Consider the following 15,224-nt stretch of genomic DNA (forward strand, 5'->3'; position numbering starts at 1 on the left):
TGGTGAAACTGAAGCATCTATTTGCTCTCTTTTTCTTATGTTGACAAGGTCGCCATGATCACAACCTACTCCACAAAAGAAGACTGCCAAGCCCCGTGAGCAGGACTCTGGTGCCAGTGGTCTACACCGAATAATTCACATTTTCACAGGATTCCTGATATCCAAAAGATATACATGTGTAGGACTGCTGGCTGAGTCAGAGAGGGCAGTGTAAAGCCAAACAGCAAGGGCACTGGGTAAAAATGGGCACTAATGCAAACTCTAACTAGGCTTTCTGCCCTTGGCCTTGTCTCCACTGTCTCATGTCCTTTGGCATAATGGAAAGAGCCCCTGTCCTTTCTCCTTTGAGCAGAGAAGTTTGCATAAACAAAGGTGAAGTTTGTAAAGAAGGGAGGGTGAGGATAGAGGCGGGGCGTGCCTTTGAAGGAGAGGAGGAGAAGGACTATTGGTGTCATTACCCGTCTTGTTCTCCCACCTACCGAAGGTTTCGGGTCAGGGGAGGAGAGAGGATGTTGAAATGGATCAGTCCTGCTTCAGTCTCCACCTCCAGGATGCACAGGCTCAGTGATGTCCAAAAGGGCCCAGGCTGGTGCCTAGTCTCTTACCTTGAACCCACAGCACAGCCCCACCCCGCCCCCTGACTACAGCCCCCAGCCCTGCTGCAAGGCCCAGGTTTCACTGCCCATAAGCTGGTTTCTGTGCGAGCCAGCCTGGAGTTGCACCAGCAGTGTGTCCCAACTCACGTTTGAAATTCCCAGGAATGTATATTTTGGGGTCATGCAAAGTGGAGAGGCAATTTCAAGCCAGCACTCAAGTCTCTCTGTGGAAGAGCACACACCAAGACAAGGCAGAGGGAGGCCAGGGACAGGTGGAAGCTGAGCGGAAGTCCTGAGGAGTATATTTTCACACTAGCAGGGAGAGCTCTGCTTTGAAATTATTTCACAAACATTTTTCGGGTGCCTATTCTGTACTGTAATGAAACAAATGACGCAGTCCTGAGGTATGGAGCACAAGGACACAGGACCTTTAAGAACCCAGCATACAGTAGAGCATTCACTGCTTAAGAAGAAGGGGCTGCCTTGCTAACTTCTGCACCACACAGTCCAATTTGATCTTGAGGTCATACAAAGTGTCTGAAAACCAGTATTTGGGGGCCAAAGAAACACTATTAAGAGCTGTACTTGAAATATACACATGGGAGTGCTTCCGGACTCTTGGAAGCTTATCAACAAGATGAGGAGTGGGGAGGCCAAAGATGTAGGAAGAATGAGGCCAAACAAGATTTGGGTTTTCTTTCACAAAGACTACTACTGTGCTGCTTTCTTTCTAATCTTGAAAAATAACAATTTTCCAAGGAAAGGCTGGCCAAAAAAGAGGATTTACAGGCTCTATGAACATCCAAGGGGGAAAAAAGCTAAGAGAGTAAATAATACCCATGAACACATTATTAATGGCTATTGAAAGATTGAACTGTTAACACTATAATTATAAAATAAATTTCAGTAGTAGTGGTAAGAACAAGGGATATTTAAGCTAAGACTATGATCTGGAATGAGAAAAACCATTCACAGGAGCATGCCAAGTCTTCACTGACTTCCCTACTTCTTAATAATCTGTGAGCAATGAGCAGGTCATGGTGGGACAGTTCAGCTGCAACAGTCTCTGTCCCATGCCATGCTCTTCCTTCCCCCTCTTGGCCTTGTGCCTCCTCTGTGGAGCTCCTTTCCTCTGCATCTTCCCAATCCTTCAAAGGTGATTTCAAATGCCCCCTGATTTTACCAGCTACACATCTTCATTTGAACAAATTTTATGATATAGCACCATCTACCTGGCTTTATGTTTACATTTATCTATATATAAGATAATTATAGTAGTAAATAATTATAGCTAACACTATTGTGTTAGTTACCATGTGCCACACACTGTAAATACTGGCTGTTTTATGTATTTTCTTTCCATTAAACCTCATTACACCTTTATGGGGTTGATATTATTATTATTATGTCCATTTTAAAGATGTAGACATTAAGACCCTGATAGAGATGTTAAATGACTAGTCTAGGAGGGTACTGAGTGAGAAACTGATAGATCTGAGATTTTATTAGTTTACAAACTCCCTGAGGAAAATGTATATTTAAAACACCATGAGAAACCACTATTCTCATTTATTAGAATGGCCAAAACAGAAAAACTGATCATATCAAGTGCTGTCAAGAATATAGAGTAACTGGAACTCTCATACATTGCTAATGAGAGTGCAAAGTGCTACAGTCATTTTGAAAACAGTTTGGTAGGGCCGGATGCGGTGGCTCAAGCCTGTAATCCTAGCACTTTGGGAGGCCGAGGTGGGCGGATCACGAGGTCAGGAGTTCGAGACCATCCTGGCCAACATGGTGAAACCCTGTCTCTACTAAAAATACAAAAAAATTAGCAGGGCGTGGTGGCGGGCGCCTGTAGTCCCAGCTACTCGGTAGGCTGAGGCAGGAAAATGGCGTGAACCCGGGAGGCGGAGCTTGCAGTGAGCCGAGATGGTGCCACTGCACTCCAGCCTGGGGGACAGAGCCAGACTCTGTCTCAAAAAAAAAAAAAAAAAGAAAGAAAAAGAAAAATGAAAACAGTTTGGCAGTTTCTTATAAAGTTAAACTCCATATGTCCCAGTAATCTCACTCCTAGGTATTTATACCCATGAGAGATGAAGACATATATCCACATGCAGAAAATTTGTACACAAATGTTTAAAGCAGCTTTATTTATAATTGCCCAAACCTAGAAACAACCCAAATGCCCTTCAATTTGTGAATGAATAAACACATTGTAGTATATCTATCAAAGGGAATTCAGATGCTCCTCAACTTATGGTGGGTTATAGCCCCAGAAACCCATCATAAATTGAAAATATCATAAGTTGAAGATAATATCATAAGTTGAAAATGCATTTAATACACTTAGACTTTTTTTTTTTTTAATCAGGGTCTCACTCTGCTGCCCAGGCTGGGGTGCAGTGGCACCATCACAGCTCACTGCAGCCTCAACCTCTTGGGCTCAAGCAATCCTCAAGCAATCCTCCCACCTAAGCCTCCCAAGTAGCTGGGACTACAGGTGTGCATCACCATACCCAGCTAATTTTTTTTTTTTGGTAGAGATGGGGTCTTGCCATGTTGCCCAGGCTGGTCTTGAACTCCTGGCCTCAAGCGATTCTACCACCTCCACCTCCCAAAGTGCTGCAATTATAGGTGTGAGCCACCATGCCCAGCCTACAACTAGTCTACTGAACATCAGAGCTTAGACAGGCCTACCTTAAACATGCTCATAACACATTAACCTACAGTTGGGCAAAATCATCTAATACAAAGCCTATTTTGTAATAAAGTATAAATATCTCATGTAATTCATTGAATCTGTACTGAAGTATAGTGTCTACTGAACAGGTTTTGCTTTTGCACCATGGTAAAGTTGAAAAATCTTGAGTAAGTCAGGGACAGTCTGTACTATTTAGAACAAAAAGGAACAAATTACTGGCACATGCAATGGCATGGGTAAGTCTCAAATGCACTAGGCTAAGTGAAAGAAGCCAGACTCAAAAGGCTCCTGAGTGTTATGATTCCATTTGTATGACATTTTGGACAAAGCAAAACTGCTGAGAAAGAAAATAGGTGTGCCTGCCTGAGGCTGGGGATACAGAGCTGACTACAAAGGGGCATGAGATAACTTTTTAGAGTGAGGGAAAGTTCTCTATCTTGATTGTAGTGGTAATTACATGACAGTATACATTTGTCAAAACACAAAGAATTATAAACTAAAAAGAGTAAATTTTACTGCATGTAAATTATATCTCAATAAACTTGACATTTAAAAAAGTTCCCTGAGGGTAGAATCATGCATTGGTAAGCCCCATTTAGTCAAGTCTTCTATTTACTAGATGGCTCAAATAACAGATTTGGTTAGAAGAGCTAACTAGTAAATAGAAGAGTAAGCTAATTTCAGCTTTGTTACCCATTTCCCTACTGACCTTTGGGGGAAGAATTAAAGAGGACAAAAATATTATAACAAAAGATGACTAAATATGAGGAAAAGCCAAAAGCAGAGATGGTCTCCAAGTGCTGAATGATCCCAAATTCACTGGACAGGTAAAAGCAGGTACCCACCTTAGTACATTTCTTGATCTTCTGTTCAAGGATCTCAGTTTCACTAGAAGTTGAGGCTGCCTTCTCATTGTCATAATCTGGTAGAAAACACTGCCGTGTGCTTTTAAGAAAAATCAAAAGTAACTCACGAAACTTTAAGTACTTGAGACAGTGAGTATAATAAAACAAGTATTTCATGAAAATATACCACCCAGTAGTGCTGAATTGAATGAAAGGCAAGAGTCATCCATATACCCTAAATGAGCTGAGAGACCTCCCTAAGGGCACAGGATTGTTTGCTAAATCACATGAGTTACAGCATTATTGCTGCCAGATTACAAAGGAAAACAGCATGTCTGACTCCAGGTAGAACCAACTGCATCCCAGACCCCAAACTCCTTTCTGTTCCAAGAAGGCAGGACTGGCGTTGTGGGGTCAGCAGAGGTGGCATGTCTTGAATCACCAAACAAATAGAGGGGTGGCTGAGGAGTGGAAATGGAATTCCAAATCTGTCAGGCTCTGAGCCCCATGAGGCAATGACCATATCTGTCTTGCTCTTCATTCTCCCATTATCTAGCACAGTGCCTGGTTAATGAACATAGTAAAAGATGCTCAATATTTCTAGAGGGCAATTTGGCATGCATATTACTGTTTCAAATGTCTGCATCCTTTGACCCAGCAATAGGCAGTCTCTGTATTAGTCACAAGTATCAGTTCAGTGGTCAATGAAAAGGAACTAATGCATTAGTTCTCATTCTTCATGATTTCATTCTTCATGATGTCTTAGAGTCTCATATGTGTTACCAAGAAAATAAGTACTTAAAAATGATTAAAATTTTTATATCAAATGACATATTTTTAAAAGTGTGAATTCAAGTAAAAAACGCTATGCTTATTAGAATGTAGCTACCTCTCAGATGCTTCTATTTGTTTAATCTTTAAGGAAAGGAAGACAACACATGAGAGCCATACCTCTTCTGGATATTGAAGGGTCCACTTCAATACCTTTTTCATAAGGAGTACCACCATTCAAGAAAAGCTCATAAGTTCTATAAAAGAATAACATACAATGACAGATATAAGCTGTGGGCATGTAGAAAACACTGGAGTCAGTAGTTAAATATTTTTTAGCACTAATATACTCAGACATTTCATTTATGCCTCGTTGGTAAATGAAAAGAATAATTGTTGATCCCTCCATGAGGTACTATCTGGGCAAATAAACAGTCTTTCTTTCCTAATTATAAGCTGCAGAAAATTATCTTTCCTAACTATACACTGTAGAAAATACATTTTTCCTTGAAAATGAGAAAAATTAATTCAAGTCATTAACGTGTTCAGACCTTAATGACTTACATTAATGACAAGTGATTTTTTTTAATGTATTTTTCAAATGTGTTAAATCATTATTTGAAATGAGGCCACTATGAACTTATATTATTTTTAAAATATAAAAGTAACGTGTAGATTATTATAAAAAGTTTGAATGGCAGAGGAATGATAAGTAAAAAGTGAAAAATCCCTCCCCATGCCGCCTTCTCTAGTGTGGTTAATCTCCTGCCCTATCTTTTCTATGCAAATGCAAACAAATGTATAAACACGGTGAATTTCAAAACTAACACATGCTTCAAAACTAACACTCTACATGCTTTTCTTTTGAAGTCACATACTAAGTGTAGAAAGAAGAAGGTAAAAGAGCCCTTTAATTGTAATGCACCACCTCCTCAATTCTGCTCCTCAGAGGCAACTTCTGGGAACAGTTTTGCTTTGTTTTGTTTTTGCTTTTTGGAGGCAGAATCTCGCTCTGTCACCCAGGCTAGAGCGCAGTGGCATGAAAACTGCTCACTGCAGTCTCGACCTCTCAGCCTCAAGCAATCCTCCCAGCTCAGCCTCCTGAGTAGCTGGGATTACAGGCGTGTGCCACCATGCTTGGCTAATTTTTTTATTTTTGTAGAGACAGGGTCTCACCATGTTGCCCAGGCTGGTCTATAACTCCCAGGCTCAGGTGATCCTCCCGCCAAGGCCTCCCAAAGTGCTGAGATTACAGGCATTGTGAGCCACCTCACCTGGCCCACAAATAGTTTTTAATGAACAAAAGTGGAGTCACAGTATTCAAAATATTCTGCAACTTTTTCCATATACTAATACACTGAAAATGTGTCTATATTAATACACAGAGCTCTACCTCATTTAAAAAAATAGCTGTGACTTCACTTTCAGAAAGATGGAATAGATATACAATTCCTTATTTCTTCCACTAAGCACAACTAAAAACCCTGAGCATATTAAAAGACAAAAACAAAAAAGCAAATAACAATCACAAGAAACCTGGCACCCCAGGTAATGCACCCTCTAGGATGATGTCAAAGGACTTGTACAGTCAGGACTTCTACCTCTGCCAATGTGGCAGGAGGCCACATAAGGCGCATTATCTAAATTAATCCTCACAACAAGCCTTTGGAGTAGGAATTATTACAATCTTCCAGATTAAAGATAGGTGAAATTCAGACTTGGAGATGTTAAGAAATCCACCTACAGTTACATGGGTAGAGCTGGGACTGGAGCCCAAAATTTTATAATCCAAATTTGGGATCTTAATCACCATCCTACTGCCTGCCCATTTGTGTCCCTTCTTGAATTTCTTGTTTATATCCTAGATTTAGATCTTTCTTTTCCTCCATTTTAAAATTTAGATGATCTTTTTCTTATTAATTTTTGAGAGTTCCTTTTATATTAGGGATAATGATCTTCTAACTCTTCTGTACATATTGCAGTATTTGCTTCCAGTCTGCCTTTTGATCTTAAAGTTTAAATCATTTACCGTGGTTGCCACTGTGATTTCAATGTCCCACCTACAGAGGAAGGGTAGAGACTCACAGAGGACCTCTGGACTCTGGACTTAACTTTCCCACTCTTTGAAGACAACTAGGCTCTGTTTTCAGCATGGTGAAATGTGTTAATACCATAGGAAATTACTGAAAGAATATTCTCAGCAGATGGCTAGTGCAAACATCTTTTAAAATACCTCTTCTCTAGGAGTCATTTCTTCCTCCTTAGGATGAGACTGTGCATGCTGTTTTCATACACTGCCTAAACAACACTAAAGTCAACATAAAAAGTCCTCTCCCCAAAAGTTATTGGCATGCTCATAGAACAAACCTGAGGTATCAAGAGTCTAAAAAATGAATTTTTACAGAAGTATTCATTCGTTAGGAATATATAGCCAACTTACTTTGCTGGAATAGGAACTCCACTGGCATCAAAAAGTTTAAGAAACACCCAGCCACAGCTTAACTCTCCTCTTTCACCAGTTGACTAGGAAATAAGACAAGTATATGAAACTTAAGGTCTGAACTAGTCAAATTTATAAGCACATACCAAGTCCTTTTAAAGGAACAAAATTAGTATTCACCTTTAGAACTAAAAAGTTCTTCACAAGAAAATAAAATGAAACACAGTAGAATCTCATTTTGCCTGCGGGTCAGATATTAAAGGTAGTATATCAAGTGATAATCATATTTTGTCAAAATTGCTCTCGAAAATCCCTTAAACCAATGATGTGGCAACTGCTGCCATTGTCTCTTGACTGATATAAGCATTCTGTGGAGTGATCTCAAATCATATCAGTACTACATGGGATGATGAACCTTTGTTTCACTGACAGATAGAATGCAGATATTAATCATTCAAGGGCTTTTCTGCTTGGAATTTTACCCCCACTGTCAGTTGCTAGAGGCCCCTAAGGCTTCCTTTGGGGGGCCTGCTCCTTTCCCCAGTCCTACCCCCTCCACAATACATATGGATGAATTTGCCTTAAACAAATGAATGGACAGTGTAATACCATTAATGTAACATCTCTGTAACGCTCTCTGGGTTACCATGAGGTCAACTATATATACTATACCTATCAAGCTATTATTAGTATGTGGAAACATTTAATTACTAGCACAGAGCCCCACCCACTGGTTCAGTAGTTTATATGACATAAGTTAAACTCACTTTATAAAAGTCACTACTCTGCTAAGTCCCTTAATTAGAAACCTCAGTTACAAGGCTAAGTATACTCTGCCCCTGGAAGACAGAGGTGAACCATGGCGCTGGGATGCCAGTGAGCATCTTTTCTCACTTTCTGCAAAGTCCCATCCTTTTTGAATTTTTATTCTTTAAAAGCACTGGAGTTCACTCAAGCTATAAATGTGAATAAGTACTATTATTTTAAATGCTACGAAAACAAATCAGCACACATAAAATTAGAATCACTGGCATTCTCATTCCTCAAGGGATTAAAATTCAATTACACATAAAGACTTCAAGGATTTCCTTGTCAATAGACACATTTTTTAACCTTCCCTTTTAACTGATACATTAGAAAGCCTTATCTTTCAACGGACATACATTGCGAATATAAGAAATTCCAAGTTCAAATAATATTCCAAGATCTGGAGATGCAGAATTAGACCTGATAAAGCAATCACCATCAAGCAAACATGGTAAGATGCGAGTAACCTGAAATGATAAAGAAATTAAAGTTATTGATAAAAATAAAAAATGGGAAGGGGGTTTGATGTGGTTTGAATAAATGTCCCCACCAAATTTCATGTTGAATTGTAATCCCAATGTTGAAGGTGAGGCCTGGTGGGAGGTGTTTGGGTCATGAGGGCAGATCCCTCATGGTTTGGTACTGTCCTCACCACAGAGAGTTCGTTCTCAGGAGATCAGTTTTTTTAAAAGTGTGTGGCACCTCCTTCCTCCTTCTTGCTCCTGCACTGTCACGTGAGATGCCTGCTCTCCCTTCACCTTCTGCCATGACTGGAAGCTTCCTGAGGCCTCCCTAGAAGCTGAGCAGATGCCTGTGCCATGCTTCCTGTACAGTCTGCAGAACCAGGGGCCAATTAAACCTCTTTTCTTTATAAATTAACCAGCCTCATGCATTTCTTTATAGCAATGCAAGAACGGCCTCACACAGGGTTTCAGCCCTATTTGTTAGTAAATAGTTTATGCCTTTGCATTATAATAAAAGCCTTTTAAGAAAAACAAAAAGCAGATGGACTGAATTCATCAATGCCAATGATTACAAATTTTAAAAATTTAACTTCACTTTTAAAGGGAAAATACCTTTACCTTTGCTTATTTTTTGCTTAGAGTAGAGGCTAATAGTACTGTGCCTAGGTCTCCAGAGGTGTTACAAATAATAGTTTATAGACATTATAAGATATTTATATTAACCACTGTTCTTCATAAACAGAACAAAAATTAAAGACTGAATACACATATTTGCTCAACTTTCCTAATGTGTGCCTTGTGAATTTTCATTTATTTTCTCTTTTGCTCATTCAATTCACTCTCCCTCGACAACTGTATCCCTCCCTTCTTGACTGTAAAATCTATCCAACCTTCAAGATCTAGTTTCTCTTCTAGAAAACTTTCCCTGAGCCAAAGGACTAGAATTAACTTTACCCTCCTGTGTGCTTCCAAAGCACTTGGAGCTCCAAAGCCATTACAATCTGCCTGAGTGGTAGTTACCAACAGTACTTGCCCCACATGGCTACTCTGATTAAATAAGGTAATGTACGTAAGAGCCTGGCACAGGGCCTAGCACACAGTTAGGGTTCCATAAGTAGATGATATTGTTATTCTTCATGTATGTATTTTCCCCTACTAATTTTGCTGGAATAGGAACTTCACTGGCATGAAAAAGTTTCCACGTGCCTAGGAAAAAATGCTTGCACATAACTGATGTTTAATTTCATTCAACAGAATAACACATACTCCCAACAGTTCTTCCTTCTACCCCAGGAAAAACATTAAAAAATTCTACCCTAAACTCTTCACATACACAGAGACGCAATAACAGAATTGTGAAGTACTGTGCCAAAAGAGAGGCCATGCTTCTCACCAGAGGAAGGGTGCTAAGAAGATCAAGATGGACTTTTAGGAGGTGTGCTCTCGACAAGTCTGGACAGGCACAGCACACAGTTGAGGTGGCTGGCCTCATCCACACCCTGAGCCCTCTCACTGAACCTCCATCTTGCCTTAAGATCTTTTGATGCAATAAGAGGAAAGGTAACTAAGGGTTTTCAGGATGCAGTTATACAAGGGAGTTAGCTGTGGGAAGGAAGTAAATACTAAATTAATGAGACCTTGGAGGTAGACGAAAGTAATGTAAAATAAAATATGGACAATTGATACTATAAAAACAACACGAAGACATCTTTGTCCTCCCTACGTCTATGCAATGCTGACTCAGTGGTTTAAACCCACCTAATGCCATTCCAGTCTTGACAGTGTGTGGGTGTAATGTAGCAGTCCCTCAGGCGTCATCCCTGACTTTATCTGAAGAAAGCACAGCTTTTATTAGCACAGTTGGAAGATTTCATCTTTGAAAAACACCCCACTTCCTAAATGTTATCTTTATGTTTTCATTTTTCATCAAATGAGAATTTTCTAAAAATGAACCCTGAAACTGATTGAATGGGATGATTCATAGGAATTACTAACATTGGTGAGTCAGAAACATGAGTAATTTTTATCAATGTCCTCAAAGAACACCAAAGAATCTAAAGATTTATATCTGTTCCCACATACTCTGTGCTATTTATAGAAATATGAATATGTTCTACTTTGAAATTCACTCACTCCACTCATTCAGCAGATTACTTACCTGGGGAGAAAAGGTCCATGTTTTGGGCTTTTTAGGTTGCCATGTGGCTCTGACTGTATGAATGTTGCTCAGAACCTGAAATGAGATTTTCCCTTTTGAAATCATGTAAAAAGCTCTTTGAAATGTCACCATTTCCATGTCCCAAAGAGTTAACAGTGGCTACACTAAGTGAGGAAGATGGCAAGGGGAGAACTTTCACTTTTTACTTCATGTAATTCTGTAATGTTTTTCTTTTTATATCAGGTATGACATAAATGAATTCAGAGTTGGACTCCTATGCTAGTAATAAATTATATTAAGTGAATTCCTTAATATCTGAGATAGGTTTGCCAGAAAAGTAATTGAAATTTTAGGTAAAAATGGCCTTTTATTTATTTATTTGTTTAGAGAAGGAGTCTCGCTCTGTCGCCCAGGCTGGAATGCAGTGGCATGATCTAGGCTCACTGCAACCTCCGCCTCCCAGGTACAAGTGATTCTCCTGCCTCAGCCTCCCAAGTAGCTGAGATTACAGGTCCCTGTCACCACGCCCAGCTAATTTTTGTATTTTTAGTAGAGACGGGGTTTCACCATGTTGGCCAGGCTGGTCTCGAACTCCTGACCTGAGGTGATCTGCCTGCCTCGGCCTCCCAAAGTGCTGGGATTACAGGTGTGAGCCATTGCACCCAGCAAAAAAATGGTCTTTTAAAAGAAAAGATGTGACCCAGTTGAGCACAGTGGCTCACGACTGTAATCCCAGCACTTTGGGAGGTTGAGGCAGGTGGATTACATGAATTTGGGAGTTTGAGACCAGCCTGGCCAACATGATGAAACCCTGTCTCTACTAAAAACACAAAAATCAGCTGGGTGTGGTGGTGTGTGCCTGTAATTCCAGCTACTCAGGAGGCTGAGGCAGGAGAATCGCTGGAACCTGGGAGACAGAGGTTGCAGTGAGCTGATACCACACCACTGCACTCCAGCCTGAGCGATGGAGCAAGATTCAGTCTCAAGAAAAAAAAAAAAAAAAAAAAGATGTGACCCATACAAGCATTTCACATGCAGTTCATTACTCTGTCACTAAGACAGACAGTCCTAATAGTTCAGATACAGTTATATTTTTCCTCAAGATCTCTAGGCCCATAAATTATATTTTTATTGAAATTCAATCTCTTATAAAATGCTCTATGCAAGAAGTTCATCATAAAACTTACATAAAACAATGAAACACAAAGGGATTTATGGAATGAAGAATTCAAATTCTAAAATGTTATGGCCAAAATTGACATCTTCCAAAGGAATGGATAATAGTTAATTTTTATTTTAGATGAAAATATTTTATTATAACACTTCCAAAACAAAGCTTTAAAATGATAATTTAAAATAATCCCAAATGTGTTATATTAGGTCAAATTCCACTCACTGTATTCCACATCCCTAGTAGTAGGAATATAGGAGTATTTTATGGGCAGCTGGATTGTTTTCCACATTAACAAAATCCCACTTCCTTCGATTGCTAATATATATATGTTTAAACTTTTCCTGAAATTATGTATATTTACCACCTGGACTCTTGGAATACAAACTCCTTATAATTACTACCTTGTGATTACTGTAAGACTGCATGTTATTCTAAGGTTCTTCTTCGTTTTTCAAGAAATGTTTTCTACTTCTAATGGCCAAGAAGTCCTTTGCTATAATCAAAATTGAAATCCTATACTACCTCTGCTTTTATCTTTTCAATTTGGAGAATCCTAATTTTGAAGTTTGGAATCAAGAGTAACTTCTTCTGTTTGATAATTTTATATCTTTCTTGACATATTGACTCTAAGAACTAAAAAGGACTTAGTCCAACCATCTCACTATGCATTTCAGAAAACTGCAGCCACAGAGGGTGAATGACTGGCTTAGAATCACACTGCTTTCTGTGCAAAACCAGACCCAAAGAATGAAGAACTGAAGAGTCAAAATAATTTACAGAGATTTCGTTCAGCAAACTGCATTAAAAACGCAAGAGGGGCTGGGTGCAGTGGCTCGTGCCTGTAGTCTAACTACTTGGGAGGCTACGGCAGGGAGATTGCTTGAGCTCAGGAGTTCGGGACCAGCTTGGGCAGCATAGTGAAACCTTGGCTCTATTTTTTTTTTTCTAAGAATGTACAAGAACTTCTCAACCAGTTTATGCTTCAACACAACCATTCTGCTCCACATATGAAGCAATGAAGCAGTGATAGTTAAAAAGACAGAGTAATACCCAAAAGTAAGATAAATATGTCAATGGACCACAAATAGAAGATAGAAGAGTAAAGTGAGACAAAAACTAGAGGTTTCCTGGGCTCTGAGTCCAGAAGGAGCATGGGGTAGCAAGGGGCTGGATTTGTATGCTATATATCACCCCATGATAGAGAAATAGATATTGCTTTATTGTTGCTGGAAGCCAGTAGGGTTAAAAAAAAAAAAAAAAAAGGTTGCCCCTGCTTCTCATAAAAAGTAGTGAGCCTAAGCAAGTAGGAGGACAAAGACATAGCCATGACACCAGAAGCAGAACCATGTCAACAAGTGGGCCTTTTAATGGATCAGTGACATATCTGACATCATCTTAGATCAAGAACTCTAAACTCTACGTCAAGATCTGGTTCTGAACTGGGGTTGGGAGAGGAGGGTGATGTACTGTTAATAAAAACCACAACACTACTAGATAGAGGGAAACGGCACTGGAAGAAATAATTGGAGTTGCAAAGGTATTTGAGAAAATAATGGCTGAAAAAAATCCCCAAATTTGACAAAAGACATAAACCTATAGATTGAAGAAGCTGAGCAAACCCCAAGCAGGGTAAACCAAAGAAATTCATGCCAGATACACCGTAAACTTCTGAAAACTGAAACACAACGAAAATACCTTGAAAACAGTAAGAAACAGCATTTAGGTTAGCCAACAGGAAAAAAACAATTTGAATGATGATGAATTTCTCATTAGAAGCCACGGAGAACAGAAGGAAATGACACAATAGTTTTCAAGTGTCAAACAAAAATAACTGTCAACTCAGAATTCTCTATCTAATTAAAATATCCTTTTGGAATGAAGAGGAAACAGGGACAATCTCAGATAAAGTCTAAAAATCTGTCACCAGCAGACCTACCCTAAAAGAATGGTTAAAGGAGATTCTCTAAATAGGACATGATAAAAAGAAGACTCTTAGAGCATCAGGAAGAAAGAATAAACAATGGAAATAGTAAAAATATAGGTAAATACTATGGATCTTCTTTCAGGTTTTCCAAATTATGTTTGGTGCTGTGTGATAAGATTCTTAATGTATGTAGAGGAAATATTTAAGACAACTATATTACAAGCTAGGGAAAGTAAAGAACTAAAGGAAGGTAAGGTTTTATACATCACTCCAACTGGAATGTTAACACTAGTAGACTGTGGTAAGCTATGCATGTATAAACTTAATACCTAGAAGCAACCACTAAGGAAACTAGCCAAAAAGATACACTCATCAACACTACAGATAACTCAGAATGGAGTTCTAAAAAATGTTCAAGTGGGGCGGGTGCGGTAGCTCACAACTGTAATCTCAGCACTTTGGGAGGCCAAGGCAGGTGGATCACCTGAGGTCAGTAGTTCAAGACTAGCCTGGCCAACATGGTGAAACCCCATCTCTACTAAAAATACAAAAAATTAGCTGGGTGTGGTAGTGAGCACCTGTAATCTCAGCTACTAGAGAGGGTGAGGCAGGAGAAGTGCTTAAACACAGGAGGCAGAGGTTGCAGTGAACTGAGATTGCGCCATTGCACTCCAGCCTGGGTGACAAAAGCAAAACTCCATCTCAAAAAAAAAAAAATGCTCAAGTGACACACAGGAAGTGATAGGTTTCACTGTATCCCCACCCAAATCTCATCTTGAATTGTAACTCCCACAATTCTCACATGTCATGGGAGAATCCAGTGGGTGGTGATTGAATTATGGGGATGGGTCTTTCCTGCGCTGTTCTTGTGATAGTGAATGAGTCTCATGAGATCTGATGATTTTAAAAATGGGAGTTTTCCCTGCACAAGCGCTCTTCTCTTGTCTGCCACCATTTGAGAGGTGCCATTCACCTTCTGCCATGATTGTGAGGCCTCCTCAGACACGTGGAACTGTAAGTCCAGTAAACCTCTTTCTTTTGTAAATTGCCCAGTCTCAGGTATGTCTTTATCAGCAGCATGAGAATGAACTAATACAGTAAATTGGGACCAGGAGTAGGGTGTTGCTGAAAAGATATCCAAAAATATGGAAGCAACTTTGGAACTGGGTAACAGGCAGAGGTTGGAACAGTTTGGAGGGCTCAGAAGAAGATAGGAAAATGTGGGAAAGTTTGGAATCTCCTAGAAACTTGCTGAATGGCTTTTTGACAAAAATGCTGATAGTGATATGAACAATAAGGTCCAGGCTGAGGTAGTCTCTGATGGAGATGAGGAACTTGTTG

General features: G+C 39.5%; 1 protein-coding gene across 11 annotated transcripts in view, besides 1 other annotated feature; it reads right to left on the bottom strand.

Annotated features, from left to right (window-relative positions):
- Positions 1-15,224, bottom strand: part of NPHP1 (nephrocystin 1) — an 81,666-nt gene that overhangs the window by 16,049 nt on the left and 50,393 nt on the right. For 10 of the 11 annotated variants that reach the window (NM_001128179.3, NM_001374256.1, XM_005263677.2 and 7 more), the window contains 5 exons: positions 10,786-10,860; positions 8,520-8,630; positions 7,357-7,439; positions 5,097-5,173; positions 4,146-4,245 (listed from right to left, as the gene is read on the bottom strand). In NM_001128179.3, the coding sequence (NP_001121651.1) occupies positions 4,146-4,245; positions 5,097-5,173; positions 7,357-7,439; positions 8,520-8,630; positions 10,786-10,860 (446 nt within the window). Of the gene's footprint in view, positions 1-4,145; positions 4,246-5,096; positions 5,174-7,356; positions 7,440-8,519; positions 8,631-10,385; positions 10,458-10,785; positions 10,861-15,224 lie in introns of those variants that run through there. The other variant, XM_006712552.3, reaches the window with a different exon arrangement.
- Positions 9,842-11,041: an enhancer, noted in NCBI's record as "P300/CBP strongly-dependent group 1 enhancer chr2:110906815-110908014 (GRCh37/hg19 assembly coordinates)". NCBI's record gives its function as "activates an origin of replication core promoter dependent on BRD2, BRD4, P300/CBP, MED14 and CDK7 cofactors, with strong dependence on P300/CBP, by STARR-seq in HCT116 cells {active_cell/tissue: HCT116}" and the evidence as "EXISTENCE:reporter gene assay evidence [ECO:0000049][PMID:35650434]".

The sequence above is a fragment of the Homo sapiens genome, chromosome 2 (assembly GCF_000001405.40).
Source record: "Homo sapiens chromosome 2, GRCh38.p14 Primary Assembly".
NCBI classification, from domain to species: domain Eukaryota; kingdom Metazoa; phylum Chordata; class Mammalia; order Primates; family Hominidae; genus Homo; species Homo sapiens.